Below are 19,327 nucleotides of genomic sequence, written 5' to 3'. Positions count from 1 at the left end.
TAAATGTTTGGCTTAAAGTCTATTTAATCATCCCTACCAGTGATTCGGTAAGACATTTAACATGTGTGACAAATTTCCCACTAGTTTGAGTGGATTCTGTTGTCTTCTACTAGAGCTCTGAACAATGCAAAACAGCCAAAAAAAAAAAAAAAAAAGCTACAATGTGGGGTTAAGGAAAAATGCTGCATATTTTATTTTACTTGTCTTTTAATCATGAAGCCTTCTCTTTGGTTCTGCAGAATGCGAGAGCAATTCATTAAACATATTTTCCTCTTGGTTTCATGTCTAAGATTATCAACATCTTTCATGAATTGCCTAGTTTCCTGGGGTACTTCACTAAGTGATATGACAAGTTATCTGTGTTTCTGGTTCAGATCTTTCCTTAGTTAACCTTCCAAAAAAGTTAACATAAGAATGGGCACATTTATATAAAACATAATAAAACAATTTTATTAGTTGGCTGAGGCTGCCATAAGAATGTACCACTGTGGCTTACACAACAGAAATTTGTTATCTCACAGTCTGGATGCTAAAAGTCTAAAATCAAGGTGTTTGCAGGGTTAGTTCCTTCTGAAGGCTCTTTGCAAGAATCTGGTCCATTCTTTGAACTTTTGATTGCCTCAGATTCCTTGTGTTGTAGATGACCTCTCCCTGTGTCTTCATATTGTCTTCCTGTGTATGTGTTTGTCTCTGTCCAAATTTCTCCTGCTTATAAGGACACAGTCATATTGGGTTAGGACCCAACCAAATCACTTATTTTTAACGTCTGCAAAGACCCTATTTCCAAATAGGTTCAAACTTTAAAGTACTAGGGTTAGGACTTCGACATATTTGGCAGAGGACACAACTCAACCCATAACAACAAAGTGAAATTTTATTTTATATATCAAATTATAATTGGAAATGTCTGGTAACTGAAAGCTAAGTGGATAGAAGAGTTGATAAATGAAGACAGGAACATTATATATTACATCTGATTTAATCTCAACAAGAACTCTTTCAGGAAGAATTATCCTCCTCTTACAAATAAGTAGAATCTATCTCCTGGTAGTTACAATAACTTGGCCAACTTTAAACAAGCATAAAGACATTATTTGAACTTAGAAATGATAAAACTAATCTATCTGAAACAAATCCAATATGCTTTTCCACTCTTCTACTCTTCCCCAAATAGAAAAGCTATATAAGAATTATAAATTTGGAGAACATCTTTTCCTTAATTCCCACAATCCATGTGGAAAAAATATAATATCTTTAAAACCATTTAAACCATGAGATACAAAAAAAAAAATTTGGCATGCTGGGAGTTTAAGGTCTTTCCAAGTATATGATGTGCTGGTATAGTGGAAATTCAAGAAAGAGTTTTGGTAAGAGATGATCAAATGTGAGAAAAGAGAGAAAAGAGTGAGACTCTAGAAATCTATTTGGGGTAGAAGTTTTAGGCTTTGGTGATATACTGGATGTACTCATGAGAAAAATGAATGTAGAATGACTCCCAGATTTCTGATTTGAAAAATAGAATTGTTAAATAATCCAGTGTTTATCAAACAATATTCAAAAAGAGAAAATGTGGGGGAGGTAAGTTTTGAAGACATTGAATTTGAGTTGACTTTAAAACATCCAGATGACACTCACTGAGAAGGTGTAGTATAAGCATCTAAGCTGATGAATAAAGCAAGTGATAGTCTTCAGTAGCCTAGACTGGCCATCAGAGTAGTTGAAGAGCAGCTAAATCCAAACCCAAGTCAGAAAGAGAAATTGATGATAAAGCTAAAATAATTGTAGCAAAATCTTTAGAATTTTTGCTATTTACATTTTTATTAATTTGTGTAAACACAGCATATTTATCAATATAAATAATATGCTTTTAGATTTGTATGTTATTTGCATTTACCAGAGTGTGTTTACATCTATGTTGGGTAATCTTCAAGATTTCAGAAACACAGCACGCTTTCTATCCTACAGGAAAGGTTTCTTTTGATTTACTCTTTGGTACATGTAGCTGGTAGGAAAGAAAGGGGTAACCTTGTACCCCCCATTACTTGAATTAGCATTAGTTACTTCAGCACCTCTCAAATACTGTTCATTATAAATAAAGTATAATTTTAATTGGCAGTTTGTTTTTTATTATGATGATTTTATGTATCTTCATTTTTCAGTGTAAAAATACCAAAGCAAACCAGTGATATAAAATTCACGGCAATGCCAGTAATAGAAACACATACTTTCTCTCTCATTAAATTTATTTTAGCTGTATATGATCTTAAAGATTGAATATAATAGCAGAAAACAACACTTAAGGAATGCAAAAAAGTGGATAAGAAGAAAGTCTCTAAGAATCCACCAGAGATTCTTCTCTATAATAAAAGCATAAGTGACAGCTTAAATGATAAAATGTCATAGAATAATAAATGAGTTAATTTATTTCTACCAATCTTGTATCAAGGAAAGCACAGTGGATTTAAACAAGGAATAAAGGTAGCCCATGCAGGATAATTTAGTATATTTAATTTTTAAAACAGACATCAACTTTATCATTGTATAAAAGTAATTATTTTGAATGGTCATATGTGTCAAAAAAAGTATCATTTAGTTGTATCAGAATTGCATGATTTAAGCATACCAAATTTCCTTAAACTGTTTTATTTCTAATTTCAGCCTTAGTAAGTGAGTTTACTTGCATGTGGATACAGTATAAGACAGTGCATACCTCCAAAAATGTCCTAAAGTTACATGTATGAAAATCCTAATTTTAAAAAAAGCACTCTTAGAAGTGTCAAAATAAAGTAACTTAACTTACAGTTAATTCATTTGCTCAGATGATTACAGAAGAAAAGTTACAGGTGTTGTCATTATTTAGCAACTTAATATGTGAATTGCACTATGATAGAATGTAACAGTGAAGACCTTAATTCTGAATTTTACTTATTACTTAAATTAATTTTCTTTTAGAATAAAAGAAAGATAAGGTGTTTTAAATGCTAACATCAGTAGATGTTCACATGTGGGTAAGGTTAATAGGAGAGAGGACATTTTCTGAGCAATTCTGCTCATTGCACTGACCCTATATACTGTATTTGTTCAGGGGGGGAACTTGACTGGGATAGAAGAGGGCAGAATCAATGAATAAATTTTAATTAAATTCTGGAAGTTCTAGTGAGGCAGAGATAAAAGATTTTTTGTCTGTTGTAACAATTCCAAATCAATCTGCTCATGTAGTATTAATTCAAGAAATAATCATATGGGTAAACAAAAAGATAAAAAACAAATACTTGAATATGACTTTGTGGTTTCTTTGCTTGTTCATTTTTGTAGAGCAATGCAGTTTAATTCTGGCACTGAGAGGAAAATCATTTATAAATCAGGCTGCTAATTTATTGCCATTTAAATGTCATAGATGACAAATCTGGATTCACTTCATAATTTGCTAATGGAAAATATAGAGAAAACATTCTTATGACAATGATCTTCAGAGAAAGGTTACCCACCTATGTATGCCTGATTGTTCTATCTTTATTATATATTGTTGACCAATTTCAAGTGGCATAGATTTTTAAAACTACATAAAATCATTTTTAAAAATAAAAGTAAACTGTTACACAAATATTAATTTCTTAGTATGGTGAACATACCATAAGATGTCAACATTAGAGGAAAGAGGATGAAAGGTACATGTGAACTCTGTGTACTATCTTTATAGCTCTTCTATAAATCTAAAATCCTTTCAAAATAAAAAGTTAACCACTGGGTTGATGGGAACTTAGGTTGGTTCCATATCTTTGCAATTGTGAATTTTGCTGCTGTAAACTTGCAGGTGCATGTTTCTTTTTCGTATAATGACTTATTTTCCTTTGGGTAGATACCCAGTAGTGGGGTTGCTGGATCAAATGGTAGTTCTACTTTTAGTTTTCTGTGGAATTTCCATACTGTTTTCCATAGTGGTTGTACTAGTTTACATTCCCACCAGCAGTGTAAAAGTGTTCCCTTTTCACCACATCCATGCCAACATATATTGTTTTTTGACTTTTTAAATTATGTACATCCCTGCAAGAATAAGTTGGTATCTCATTGTGGTTTAACTTTGCGTTTCCCTGATAATTAGTGATGTTGAGCATTTTTCCATGTTTGTTGGCCATTTGTATATCTTCTATTGAAAATTGTCTATTCATGTCCTTTGCCCACTTTTTGATGGGATTATTATTATTTTCCTTGCTGATTTGGTTGAGTTCTGTGTCAATTCTGGATATTATTCCTTTGTCAGATGCGTAGTTTGTAAATATTTTCTCCTACCCAGTGGGTTGTCTGTTTACTCTGCTGATTATTTATTTTTCTGTTCAGAAGCTTTTTACTTAACACCATGGAATACTACTCAGGCATAAAAAGGAACAAAATAATGTCTTTTGCTACAATTTGGATGAAGCTGAAGGTGATTATTCTAAGTGAAGTAAATCAGGAATGGAAAACCAAATACAATATTTTGTTCTCATTTATTTATAAGTGGAAGCTAAGCTATGAGGCTGTAAAAGCATAAGAATGAGGTAATGAACTTTTGGGACTTGTGGGGAAGAATGGGAGGGGAGTGAGGGAAAAAAGACTACATATTGAGTATACAGTATATTGCTCGAATGACAGGTGCACCAAAATCTCAGAAATCACCACCAGAGAACTCATCCATGTAACCAAAAACCACCTGAACCCCAAATATTTTGAAATAAAAATAAGCAATAAAAAGTTTAGAAATTAAACATTTTTGAGAAAAGCTAAAATTATTTTTAAGTGCAATAAAAACTAATGAGTTAACTTTAAAGGAAGATTAGAATTTAGATTAAAGAAAAATTCCATTTTAGGCTGGGTCCAGCATCACAAAGTTTAGAAGGTAGAATGCTCAGAGAATGTAAGTAATTTGTTTTGGCTGCAGGTACATAAGAGATAGCAGTGGGAGATGGGAAGGGAGAGCCAGAGGCCGACCAGGACATCAGGTATGTTTTGTGTCAGCATGAGGTGTTTAGATTTTGTAATGAAGGCATTAGGGAGCCGTTAAGGGACTTTAAGTAAGGGATGATAAGACAGCATCTGCTAAGTATTAAACACATTGTTAGCTAACATGCTGACATTGACGGACACTACAGAAAAAAACTTAAAAGCAGGCAGAAAAAGAAAATCACACAATACATCTCTATAGGCCTTGAGAGATTCCGTTTACTGGAGTAACTGCACCTCTGATTTATTTAGTGCTATGTGTTTATATGCTAAATGTTTTTCATGCCTTGTGTCACATAAACTGCACAAGAAACCTAAAAAGTTGTTAGACTATTATCTTTTTTTTTTTCAAATTAACAAACAGAAACATTCTACTGCCCAATTTAGCAAAACTAAGAGTAGAAGAAAGGACTCTTTCTTTGAATAGACACTGTCTGCTTCCTGTAGAAATGTTTGGTCTATTCAGTTAGACAATCAGCTCAGGACTTGGAAATGTTGGGTTCTTAAAGGACTGCTTACCAGGCATATATTGAATATATATGAAGGGAAATACATGTATTCATTCATCATTTAACTTTCTTTTTTGTACCGAGCATTGATTATGTTCCATATACTGATGTAGATGCCAAAGGTATGAAAGTAAACATCAGGGTTGTTTTTCGTTTTTCCCCTCACAGAACCTACAGTATAGAGGAAATAGCTTGATGCAACTTTGAATATATTTTTGTGTATTTGAAATCTACTGGTAGATATAATCCTGTACAGTCCTTTTTAAAAATGTACTATTATTTGAAATATTTTCCTATGTTATCCAAATTTGCATGATTATAAATTACATTTTAATCAATTTTACCTATGGATATTATTGTTTATAAATCTTGATGTTCATTTCTAATTATTTTCTTATAATGTTTTCCTTGAAGATGTATTATTTTCTTAATAATTTTCCAAAAGTTTGTGCTAATTGACACACCCATCACAAAGTGTCTGTTGGCAGTGGTGAGAGGTTTCTTTTTTCCTTTGTATACGCATTTTCAAATGTAAATGATGTCTCTTGACACTATTGGAAAATGCCCAGATATGGGTCAAAAATGGTCACAAAATTGACCCAATATTTTTCAGAATCATCTCTGTATGCTAGGGAGTGTTCAGCTTTCATTGCTTTGCTTGAAAATTAACAGATTTTTTTGTTATGTATCTTGCAATGAAAATCTTATTGAACATGGCTTTCCTTTTCCTGGTAAATTATTGTTGTGTATGTAACTTCACCACATCTACCCAGCTGCCATTTGAAGATTAAGGAAAGGATAAAGATGAAAAACAAGGAAAACTATAAAGAAAACTAATTAGAATGTTTTCTAATTAGTTGCACATCAGCCTCCCTGGCTGATTCTGAGTTTAATGTTTCATGTGGGTGAACATGATTTCAGACATGGCCTTATTTTTATGCTTGTTAGTCATGAATATTTTGTTTGTAATAGCAATTTCTTTGAAGATTTTTTTCTTTTATGATGACTATACAAAACTAGTACATCACTATATTAATTTTTTAAAAAACAGTTAAGAGTGAGAATTCTTCTTCCACCCACAAATCAGAAATTCCACGGGTTATTCTTAACTCAGGGTTATCATCTGTTTAAATTCCTGCTATGCCTGCCACACACATTTGTGACTTTCCATATCTCCTTTGTTGTTGCTAAAATTGGTACAATCATAGAACCTATCTCATGATGTTGTCTTTAGAATTAAAGAAATAAAATCTGTAAAGAGCTTTGAATAGTGTCTCATACCTAAGTAATTAATACATTCTAGATATGATATTGTATATACCTGTTTTAAAATTTATTTCAGCTTTTTGCTCTGCTGATAAAGATTACACAATTACCAGATTCAAATGTAAAACGAGTTTGAGTTTCTATGTGATTAATTGGAAAAGTTAGTATGAAGACAAGTTTGGTAAAGTTCAAATTACAGGAGCTCATGAGAAATGTATGGTTCCTGTGGGAAGTGTGATTGGAGCTCACACACACATACAGAAACACACACATTTGTATGCATCTGCCTGCCTCATCTGTTTATTTGTATATATGTTATTAAGGAAATATATATAATAGCTGCTTGGAAAATATTGATATATAATAAATATATATAATAGCTGTTTGGAAAATATTAATTTTTTGGATTCTGAAATACAATTGACATTTTGAATATGTGTAAAGATAACTTTTGGAACCTGCCAACTGAAGAAACCAAAACGTGAAGCATAGGAAATTAAGCAGTTGGAGTGGTGAGGTTGCTTTTATCTTTGGTGTGTGTTCTTTTCTCCTCTTCTAAATTCCAGTTGCCTTTAACATCTAACAGATAGCATAGAATGGTTCTGAACTTTCAAAAACATTCACTTTTTACTTCTGATGAAGAAAGGCAAGGTTGAGTTCTCACCAAAATGATGCTGAGTCCTTTGTATTCAGGGAAAAAGGAGAACATTTTCTTTAAAGATGACGTCCAAGTTCCTTTCTTGTTCAAGCTAGATTCCCAGAATTCCAACCTGTTCTAGGTCCACAGAAAGCATATATGGTTGTAGAAGTGAGTAGAGGTGATCCACAACTTTGAGATGGGGACAGACTTTATATAGTTTGAGTCCACAGAGGAAGTCAGGAATCAAGAGCAAAAAAAAAAAAAAGGTTAGGTGGAGTGAGCAGGTTCAGAAGCAAGACCTCGAAGTATTTTCCTGAAGCAAGAAAATATGGGTGAAGAAGACAGAGATTTCAAGGGCACCAAGGCCCCTAATCTCCTTGGGACAGAGAAAAGACCCTATATAAATGCCTGCAAATAAAAGCTTGTTCACTTGGGCTCTATACCTGGTATTTCACCCTGGTCTCAACTTTTAGTCCAAAAGTTAGAGGAGGATGAAATAGGAATCTTTCAATAATAAAATTTGAAGGTCTTTTGTCATCAAGATGATGGCTAAAATGGAAAACCTTCTTTCTCTTACCATTTTCTAATTTCTGTGTAATATTTGGAAGTCTGTGAGCCACTGAGAAGGGGCATAATCTAGAGTTTCACCATCTACACATCTAAACAAACATCTCACTGATAATAATTGGACAAAAGGTTCTGCTTTGGTTTGGATCCCAATGAAGTAACGTTATTTCTATTCTTTAAATACCTGTGAAAGTAAACTCTTGCGATAGTTTACTGAGAATGATGATTTCCAGTTTCATCCATGTCCCTACAAAGGACATGAACTCATCATTTTTTATGGCTGCATAGTAGTCCATGGTGTATATGTGCCACATTTTCTTAATCCAGTCTATCGTTGTTGGACATTTGGGTTGGTTCCAAGTCTTTGCTATTGTGAATAATGCCACAATAAACATACGTGTGCATGTGTAAACTATCGCAAGAACAAAAAACCAAACACCGCATATTCTCACTCATAGGTGGGAATTGAACAATGAGAACACATGGACACAGGAAGGGGAACATCACACTCTGGGGACTGTTGTGGGGTGGGGGGAGGGGGGAGGGATAGCATCGGGAGATATACCTAATGCTAGATGATGAGTTAGTGGATGCAGCGCACCAGCAAGGCACATGTATACATATGTAACTAACCTGCACATTGTGCACATGTACCCTAAAACTTAAAGTATAATAATAATAAATAAATTTTAAAAAGAGAGAAAAAAAAAGAAAGTAAACTCTTGCTATTTATAATTCTTTAAGTTTTACAAAGCTTTTTTTTTTTTTTTTTTTTTTTTGAGGTGGAATTTTGCTCTTGTTGTCCAGGCTGGAGTGCAATGGCATGATCTTGGCTCACCACAACTTCCGCCTCCTGGGTTCAAGTGATTCTCCTGCCTCAGCCTCCCGAATAGCTGGGATTACAAGCATGTGCCACCATACCAGGCTAATTTTGTATTTTTGGTAGAAACGGGGTTTCTCTATGTTGGTCAGGCTGGTCTCGACCTCCCGACCTCAGGTGATCCACCCACCTCGGCCTCCCAAAGTGCTGGGATTACAGGCGTGACCCACCGTGCCCGGCCCCACAAAGCTCTTACCATAAATGTTATCTCATTTGATCCTTGCAGATAATACACGAGGAATATAGTATTTATACTATAAACTTTATTTCAGAGATGAAGAAGCATACATATATTTATATATTGCGTACCTATAATAAAGTTAATGCCCCACCCTGAAGTTTAATACAATGTGACTACTAGAATTGAGATCTAAGGAACTTAGCACTTATTTATGTCAGAAGTAGGAGTAGATACTCTTTGGTATTATTTTTTTTAAATGTCTAATACTAAGAAAACAAATAGCACATGAATTTACATTTAGAAACTTTTGGTTATGTGATAGGGTTTCAGATTCAATGATAGATGTTTGTGCTCTAGTGCCCAGACCTACCAGTCTATGTGACATTGGACAGGTCTCTCCCGTTTCTCATAAATTTTTCTCCATCTAAAACTGATTACTCTTTGGGTTTTGAACAAAGGAGAGACAAATATGTTTTATGTTTTAAAAGGACTCCTCTAGCAGTATGCCTAGCGTAGACTAAAGGAGACAGGGACAGAAGCAAAGATCAGTTAGGTTACTACAGTAATTGAGAGGAAAGATAAAGATGACTCAGACCAGCATGGTTGCTAGTGGTTATATGCTGGATGTGTTTGGAAAAATAAATCCAACAAACTTTTCTAACAAACTGAATAAAAAATAAAAGAGAGGAGCTAATTGAGAGTTCAAGTTTTGGGCCTTGATAACATCTACAGAGCTTGGATGGAGTATTGGATACAAAAAGTCACTTAGGAGGTACATATAAAACTCAATTAAAAACAATTTCTCAGACATTTTAATAATAATTATGTTCTGGATTTTAGTTGTATATATACAATTTCAAGCTCATAAGATATAGATTGAAAAAAATACTGCTTTATTATGGAAGAAATGGGAGATTTTCTTTATAAAACCAACAAGAAAAGAATTAATAATGATAAATATGCAGTTTCCATTTAGATATAATAAAACAACTGAAGTATAAAAGACCTAAGCGGATTTGTCTGGAAAGAAAATCAATATGAACCAATGATAGCTTGTGTTAAAAATATCATATAGTCTTAGGCTTATCTATGAATGGAAGTCTAGTGTCTAGATAAGCATTTCTGTCAGCCAGCATTGCTCATCTGAACCATAGAAAAAAAAATACTATTTGAATAACTATTTTCTCAATTCTCTTAAGATAGTACATAACTATCACCATTCTGTATGTGTATGAGGGAAGTTAGTGTGTAATTGGATGCTTTAAAGCATTAGGACTTATTCTCTTGTGTAACCATGTTTAAGAAGTGCTGGTATAGATCAGGGCCACATCTGGCCTGCTACCTGTTTTTGTAAATAAAGTTTTACTGGAACACAGCCATGCCTGCTGTATACATATTATCTGTGTTGCTTTTGTGCTATAACATCAGAGTTGAGTGGCAGGAAAGAGACTGTATAGTCAGAAAAGCCTAAATTATTTACTATCTGGCCCTTTGCAGAAATAAAGGTTTCCAAATGATTGGCTGAATCAATAAAGATAATTTGCCTACTTTAGACCATCCTGGTTACATAATACCTAGAATATTCTGTCACATTTTCCACAAAAGATCTTGACAAAAGTTAGTTTCAAGAAAAAGATAAACAAAACAGTGTAGGAATAGGAAACTTAACATATGTGTTTAATTCAATTCATCAAAAGTTAGTTGTATCCTTTGTATATACCAAATACTGTATTTGGTTTGGGGTAAAGAAAGAATGAGCAAATATCATGTGTTCAGTGAATTTATATTCTAATAGAGAAAATACATATACCTAAATGTAATGCTGTGTGGCAGTGTTAAGTTAGAGTTATGTATAAAGTGCTATCTAAACATAAGTTAATTCTGCTGATGGAAGATTGGGGAAAGTTTCATACAGAGTATAAGTTTGACCTGGGCTTTTAAAGAAAACTTGCAAAATTTTCAGGCAGACAAGAAAGAAAAGAAGTATTCTAATGGAATGATAGGCATAAGCAAATAATAAAAGTTATAACTGAGGTCTTTGTAGAAATATGAGTACAAAAAATATTGTATAAGCCTAATGTAACTTTGCAGATAACTTCTGACATCCTCATTCTGGTTCCTTCCACCAGCATGGAAACATTTTCATGATACAGCAGCTGCTAAATGACTTATTGGTACTAAATGCTTACTGTACATCAGGGACGTGAGAAAATCGAGGCAACCCTGTCGGATGCTCTGTGCTTCAGCCCTGCTCTGGTCTTCTTTTGGTCTCATTCCTTACCACTAGAACAGATGTTCCTGAGGCCAAGAATCTAGATCCAATTCAGTATCCCATTACCTCTTCTACACCATCTGCATGTACCAGGAACCCTGAAAATCCCTAATCCAATGCTCTGAGCCTATTTCTAAGGACTGAATGGGCCTCCTCCTTTGTCTGCAAACCTCATCTCTGACATATGTATCCTTAGGACCATAGAGCCAAAAGGAGACTGCTTGTAGTTGAGAAGCTGGTACATGTGGCTCAGGGCATACACATGTACAAGAGGGAACTCATTGTGTGGAACAGAGGTGGAGGAAAAAGAAGGGGTCAGCACTGAGCCTCCACTTGCAATTTTGTGGTAGACCTTCCAACTTTCATGGACAAGCCTGCAGCCAGAGTCCAGAAAATAACAATCAATTGCTAGACATTGCTCCAGAGCTGCATATAGATTAGGCTCACTTGCAGAGGAAGCAAGAGCTCAATAAAACACCAAACAAAAACCATCCTGGGGAAAACACTTGGAAAGGAAATAGAGTAACGGATTCTGACCTTTTGATTAATCACCAAGATTTTCTATGTCTTTGCCAAGATGAAGCATTAACAGCCCCTCTACCATTACTTTCAACATATTCAACTGAACCTCTTATTTTCAGCATTCTTTTGAGTAGTTTGGCCCTTTCTTCCCTTTTCTTTCTTTTTTTTTTTTTTAATTATACTTTAAGTTCTGGGATACATGTGCAGAATGTGCAGGTTTGTTACATAGGTATACATGTGCCATGGTGGTTTGCTGCATGTTTCTCTTAAACCTAGTTGCACATTAAATCATTCGGAGGAACTTGTCAAAAATACTGATTACTGGGACGTACAAAGACTCACTAAATCAGAATATATTTGGAAGTGGGAATGTACCACTGCTACATGCATCAACCCGTTATCTACATTAGGTATTTCTCCTAATGCTATCCCTCCCCTAGCACCCCACCCCCTGACAGGGCCCGGTGTGTGATGTTCCCCTCCTTGTGTCCATGTGTTCTCATTGTTCAACTCCCACTTATGAGTGAGAACATGTGGTGTTTGGTTTTCTGTTCCTGTGTTAGTTTGCTGAGAATGATGGTTTCCGGCTTCATCCATGTCCCTGCAAAGGATATGAACTCATCCTTTTTTATGGCTGCATAGTATTCCATGGTATATATGTGCCACATTTTCTTTATCCAGTCTATCACTGATGGGCATTTGGGTTGGTTCCAATTCTTTGCTATTGAGAATAGTGTTGCAATAAACATAGCTGTACATGTGTCCTTATAGTAGAATGATTTATAATTCTTTGAGTATATACCCAGTAATGAGATTGCTGGGTCAAATGGTATTTTTATTTCTAGATCCTTGAGGAATGACCACACTGTCTTCCACAATGGTTGAACTAGTTTACACTCCCACCAACAGTGTAAAAGCATTCCTATTTCTCCATGTCCTCTCCAGCATCTGTTGTTTCCTGACTTTTTAATGATCGCCATTCTAACTGGTGTGAGATGGTGTCTCATTGTGGTTTTGATTTGCATTTCTCTAATGACCAGTGATAAGCTTTTTTTTCATATGCTTGTTGGCCATATAAATATCTTCTTTTGAGAAGTGTCTGTTCATATCTTTCGCCCACTTTTTGATGGGGTTGTTTGATTTTTCTCGTAAATTTGTTTAAGTTCCTTGTAGATTCTAGATATTAGCCGTTTGTCAGATGGATAGATTGCAAAAATTTTATCCCATTCTATAGATTGCCTGTTCTTTCCATAGTTCCATTATCTCTGAGCTTCAAGAATTTATGAGGAAGAGAATTTTGCATTGATTAAGACTTTTAAATATATGGGAAATACCTAATTTATTTATAATTACTTTATAATTTAATTATTTCTCATTAGCTGCACATAAAAGTATCTCAAAACAAATAATAATGTCTCCAATATATCACTGTCTAACTTTAATCATCTTATTTTAAATATATTGTTTTGCTCAAATTAAATTTATTTAATTGTACTTAATTGTATTTGCTCAAATACAATTAAAAATTGTATTTTTTTAAATGCTACAGTAACAAAAAGAATTTTGTTTTTAATGAGTCTTAAGACTAAGCATTACTTAGTTTGCCCCAGTTTTTCATACATTGTAGATTCTGCTTAAAATAGCTTTGCCTTGTTTATACATATGCATTTACATGGCTATTTAGGCTTTTAGGTCAATTTTTAAATATAAAATTTATAACTAGAGAAAAATAAGCAATGTGCTCAACTTATTAGGGACCAGAGATAATTAATTACTGTACAAAACTAGATTTTAATTCACAGTTTATCTATAAGTTTATAAAAATTTACATAAATGACTAAAAAGTTTTTTTTTTCTTTTATTTCCTCATGGAATGAAACTTTTTTTTTTTTTTTAGCAAAATAACAAAAGGATGAGTAATCCTGTATATCTAGACTTGGCTAGCTAGAGCTGCACTGGAGAATTTGACCAGAGTCAAGTTCTAGAAGACTGTGTGTGTCATGCTAAACCACTTGGTCTTATGATGTGGTCAGTGGGAAAACCATTTGGTCTTTATCATGTGGATGGTGGAAATTTGACAGAGTTTTTGTTTGTTTGTTTTTTGTTTTGTTTTTTTGGACAGCGTGGATGAGCAGATCTGGATATCAGAGATATTCTTGGAATAGTGAAGGACTATTTGGAGGGTGAAGCTTCTAAAAGGAAAAATAAAAATAAAAATAAAAAAATTTAAAAAAATCAGTTAGAAGGTTGTTACCACAGTCCTCATCGGAGGAACTCCAGACCAGGGCAGTGGCAGTGGGAGGGAGAGGCAGAAAGGACTCATCAGAGAGAAAGAAGTGTTATTTATGGGAAGTGGGAATGTTTAGTCTAGAGAAAAGAATCCATATGCAAGGTTTTGAAGTGGAGAGTTTTTGTCTGGTTTTGAAGTGAAGTTGAATTCTCTTTCTCTTCCTCTGTCTCTCTTAAAATTTCCATAGACATACGGCTTTTGATGGAGGGTGTGTTTTGTCCTAGAGGAGGCATTCCAAACAGGGAAGCAGTGGAGTGGTACAAGTTGCATTAGATTATAGATGACTAGTTATACTAGATCTTAGATATTATTTAGATAAATGATTACAAATAAATTAGATTAACTTGAGTGAGGATAAAAGGAAAGAAATTATCAATAGTGTGTTGTTGAGATTAATGTAGCAGTGGTATTAACATTTGAGTAGTACTTTCTGCTCTTCTGCTCAATGTTATTTTTTCTAGACTACAGTCTAAACCCCATCACCTTTTTCCCCTAGCACAGTTCCTAGCACATAGTGGGTACTTGATGTAATTTAGGATGAACGAATGAATCATCAATGAAGAGTATTAGGCAGATATGCCTGTATACATTTTCTCCCACTACATGTTTCCCTTAAAGTTAGTTGCACATTAAATCGTTTGGATGAACTTGTCAAAAATAGTGATTACTAGGACCTACCAAGACTCACTAAATTAGAATATCTTTGGAAGTGGGAGAAGTATAGACATGAAATACCACATACTAATATTTTCAAAAGTTCCCAGGTAAACATGCAGCCAGAACTGAAAACTGATTCTACATTGCACAAATGTTTCTTAATCTATAACCAATTTTCCTTTGTTTTAGGGAAAAGGCTGATTCTTAAATGGCAAGTTTGCAGTTCCATATCGTTTTTATGTAGGCAGCAACTGCTGGTAAATTTTCTTGCAAAATAATTTCTGGGGAATTAAGTTCAACTACTTACTTGGTTCTCTGAGAGTCAGTATTAAAATTATCAGTGGTGAAATGCTTGTGGTGGCAGCAGTATGATCTTCTCATAATGAGAAAAGGGCATTTGAACTATTTTCTCAAAATTATAAATCAGGTCAGGGCATGGTTTCTGTGAAAATATGGTGTTCCACTGGAAAACAGAGAAGTGTTCCGAAAACTGCACGTCCCTTTTTCTGAGAGAAAATGCCCTATTTTATGAAACTCTCCCACCGCCAGGGCTCGGATATATTCCTCTTCAAAGCCACATTAATATCTCCTAGCTCTATGCATCCTTGGCTTTCAATTTCTCCTTTGATCTTTCTTAGCAACAAATTGACAATAGCAGTGTTAGGAGCATTACATATGCCTAAGAGCCAACTTTCACCTTGAAAAGAATACTGCCTTTAGCATATTCTTTTTAAAACTTCATTTGAAAATAAAAATACTAATGATAAACCTCTAACAAAAGTGTAAAGTTTTAGTAAATATGACCACATAAAATTAGCTGTATTAGCTGGCTAGCATTATTGGGTAATAATAATACATGCCTCAAACATTTGCAAAAATCAATAATGATGTGTCTATTCATTTACTTTTTCAGTCGTGTGATAAATGTGTTTTGGTAATCTAGTAAGTGCCAGGTACTTTTAAGGCTCTGTAATACAACAGTGCTCGAAATAGAGAAAAGTGCCTGTATCATGGAGCTTACACAGTATTCAGGAGGCATAGACAGTAAACAAAAGAGGTCAAGCAAATGTATTATATGCTAGATAGTGATACATGTTCTGATTAAATGTAAAGCAAAGAAGGGGTGTCATACATTTAAATAAGGAGATCAGAGAATGCCTTGATGAGAAGGGGGCATCTAAATAAAGGCTTGACTGAGGTGAGGGAATAACTATCTTGGAAAAGGTGAAGGGAATATCAAGTGCAAAGGCCCTGAGGTAGAAATAATCCTGGCATACTTAAAGCAAAGAGGACAATTCAGCTGTATGAGAATGAATTTGGATTTTTAAAAATCAGTGACAAAAATCAATGGAAGGGAATTCAAATCATGTAGGACATCATAGGCTAAAGGATGACTTGGCTTTTACTGTGAGTGAGGTCGGAAGCCACTGGAGGCTTGTGAGCAGAGTGCTAACAGTAGGGCTGATTGGACTTTGGTGTGAACAGGATCTCCTGGCTACTCTGTTGAAAATAGACTGAAGTAGGGCAACTACTATTTTTGGCAACGGTTTTGACCTCTTCCCTGAAGCAGCTTTATCTGAGTTAATCTGATTATGAGGAGCAGAGGTCAGACACAGAAGAGGCAAGTCTATTTACAAAGAGAAGCTGCTGCTGAGAAATCAGGGTTAAATTAACAGATAAAATTCAGGAAAGCCTATGGTTTAGAGATACAAGTCACATAGCGGGTCAGGATAGGATTGTCATTAGCACACATGAATGCATGACTTTTTGAAACGGAAACTCTATGTCTCTGGGATATATGTGCTTTAACATACTCTAATACCCAAATAACACAAAAATCTGATTGTATTAATTTAAGTTAAATTTTAAAAACAAGTAATTTGTTACAGTTTTGAGGACTTTAAAAACTGGGCTATTTCTACTAGGTATCAATGGAGGAACTTTCTTGGGTTGACAAGATATTGGTTGCTGTATACGCAAAGCGTTGTTATGCCTGGGATCTGTGCCCTTTGCTCTGGAAACTCTCCAAATTAAAGTGGCTAGAATTTTAGGTAAAAGGTACAAATGAACTCAAAATCCATAAACACTCATGGAAATGATTTCATTCAGCACAATTTATGAAGTGTTTTTTGTGTTCCAAGCACTTTACTATATGTGGAGGCTAAAGTTGGGAGGGGGTAGTGTAGTACTAGGCTCTATAGGATAGGGAGGGTATCTTGCAGTGGTTATGAGGTCAGAGTTTGGGCCAGAGAGACTAGAATTCTAACTCTAATACCTGCCTCAGTTTTTTTGTGTGTCTTATAACTACCAAAGGGCAGGATTTTGATTTGAATATGGCCACACCTAGTTTCAAAGGGGGAAGATAAGTGCGTGTTCACTATGTGCCGGGAAAACATGAGGCCGTGAATATTTGTTAGTGGTGAAAATAACAACAGATGGCTTCCTGCTTTGAGGGACTGGTCAGAGTTGAGGTGGCTGAAGTAGTTGTCAGTGCATGGGGGTCATGTCCTTTAGTTTAAGAGTTCCTGGAGAGGACTGAAAATAGCAACACAGAGTGTTGGAAGAGTGGCGTTTTGGAGAGATTATCAAGTAGATACTTAGGCATAGGAAATCATCAGGGACCCAGACACAGAATCTCATATGAAAAACAATTTCTTTCTTTTCTTTCTTTCTTTTTTTTTTAGGAAGCACTGACAAGATGTCTGGCTTTAACCCATACTGAGGTGGTATGAATGATTTATTCTTCCAGGTGAGGGAGAGAGAAAATACTATGACCTGTGGTCTCTACTCATTTACTAACCAGCTAACCTTGAAGAATTTTTTAAATTCTACTGAAGTCCACTCTTCTCATCAGTCAAATAGAGAAAATGATACTTACCTTATAGGCATCTCAGATTTAAATGGGATCTGACAAAAAGTGTTTAGCACAGTACAAAGCTATCCTGGTAGGGATTATAAGTGGTGACTCCTCTCCCCTTTGTCCTCTTTCTCTGTTCCTCAAAAATATAATTATTATTAGCTGATCCTATACCTCCATGATGAGAATTAATTTGGGAAAGAGTGCGTACTTCCTGAAGGCATTGCTTCTAACCATGGCCCCCTGCTCAGATGTAGGGTAAAAGAGAGGAAGAAGATAAAATGAAAGAGATAATAAGAGTTAATAGCCCCTTTTTTGAGATTATCATCAATTTTCTTAACTGGAACGAAAGAAAACAAACAGTTGGGGATTCTCTCTAGTTTTTGTAGTGGTTGGTCATAAAAGATAGAGAACAGATGTGGAATGGTGCACCCTTTGAAGACACATTACAGGGGCATGGTACAGAGGCAGATGTATGTCCTGGCAAAGGATGCTCCATGAGTTAACTGCAGGGGCGGCAAGCCTGCAAAGATTAATGTGGCAGAAGTATTGACATTCTTGCAGCACCCTACCTGCTAGTTTATAGTATTGGCTTATGGCCAGCAGGCCAAAAGTGCCAGTAAAAACAGAATATTGATTTTTTTTCTATTGCTTGATGCACAGTTCTTTTCTTTACCTCACTTTCTCAATGGGAAACATGCATTTTACAATCCCCATGATGCCGGGCACGGTGGCTCACGTCTCTAATCCCAGCAATTTGGGAGGCCAAGGCAGGGGGATCACAAGGTCAGTAGTTCGAGACTAGCCTGGCCAACATAGTGAAACCCCGTCTCTACAAAATATACAAAAATTATCCAAGCATGGTGGTGTGTGCCTGTAATCCCAGCTACTTGGGAGGCTGAGGCAAGAGAATCACTTGAACCTGGGAGGTGGAGGTTGCAGTGAGCCGAGATCACGCCACTGCACTCAAGCCTGGGTGACAGAGTGAGACTCCGTCTCAATAAATAAATAAATAAATAATGAATAAATAAATTAATAAGTTAAATAAAATCCCCATGGCTGTATTCCCTGAAAGGATACAATAAGAAGGACACATCCTCTCTGTGCTGCTCTTCCAAAAATTCACAGTGTAATCATGAGTAATCATGAAAAAATACCAGAAAAATCCAAACTGAGGGACATTTTACAGATTATGTGACCAGTACTCTTCAAACCTGTGAAGATCATGAAAGACAAGGAAAGACTGAGAAATTGTCACAAATTAGATGAGACTAAGGAGACCTGATGAAATACAACATTTCATCTGTATCCTGAATTGGATCCTGGAACAGAGTAATATTAGTAGAAATTGAAAAATCTGAAGACAGTCTGTAGTTTTTCATTAATTTTAATTTATTTGATAGATGTACCATGATTATGTGTGATGCAAACAGTAGGTGAAGCTGAGTAAAGAGTATATGAGAACTCTTTGTAGTATCTTTGTAACTCTTTTATACATCTAAAATTATTTCAAACTAAATTTGAGAAAAAAATCTGTGACAGACTACAGCTTGCTTTCTTGCACCATGCCAACTCTGTAAATTTGCAGAACAGCAGCCCTTAAGGTTTTTGGTTTGTTATCAGCATTTGGGATACTGTGCCCTCCTCCTTGTCTGTGTCTTTTCCAAACCAATTTAATTGAAAGGCCTGGGAAAGGAAAAATTATG

The 19,327-nt window shown here is 35.1% G+C and overlaps 1 protein-coding gene and 1 long non-coding RNA gene across 51 annotated transcripts in view; one reads left to right on the top strand and one right to left on the bottom strand.

Moving 5' to 3' along the window:
* PPFIA2 (PPFI scaffold protein A2) overlaps positions 1 to 19,327 on the top strand; it is a 501,376-nt gene that overhangs the window by 242,088 nt on the left and 239,961 nt on the right. For 2 of the 48 annotated variants that reach the window (NM_001282536.1, XM_047429794.1), the window contains exon 1: positions 4,872 to 4,979. The exons of 44 other annotated variants lie outside the window; for them this stretch is intronic. Coding sequence is in view for 2 of the 4 variants with exons in the window: in XM_047429793.1 (XP_047285749.1) it covers positions 17,493 to 17,513 (21 nt within the window). In the remaining 2 variants the exon portion in view is untranslated. Of the gene's footprint in view, positions 1 to 4,871; positions 4,980 to 14,953; positions 17,514 to 19,327 lie in introns of those variants that run through there. 2 more of the 48 variants (XM_047429793.1, XM_047429792.1) reach the window with 2 other exon arrangements.
* Positions 1 to 19,327, bottom strand: part of PPFIA2-AS2 (PPFIA2 antisense RNA 2) — a 141,042-nt gene that overhangs the window by 40,884 nt on the left and 80,831 nt on the right. The window lies entirely within an intron of this gene.

This window comes from Homo sapiens, chromosome 12 (assembly GCF_000001405.40).
Source record: "Homo sapiens chromosome 12, GRCh38.p14 Primary Assembly".
Lineage (NCBI taxonomy): Eukaryota > Metazoa > Chordata > Mammalia > Primates > Hominidae > Homo > Homo sapiens.
Note: the sequence above shows the minus strand (reverse complement) of the source record. Positions and strands in the feature narration are given on the sequence as shown.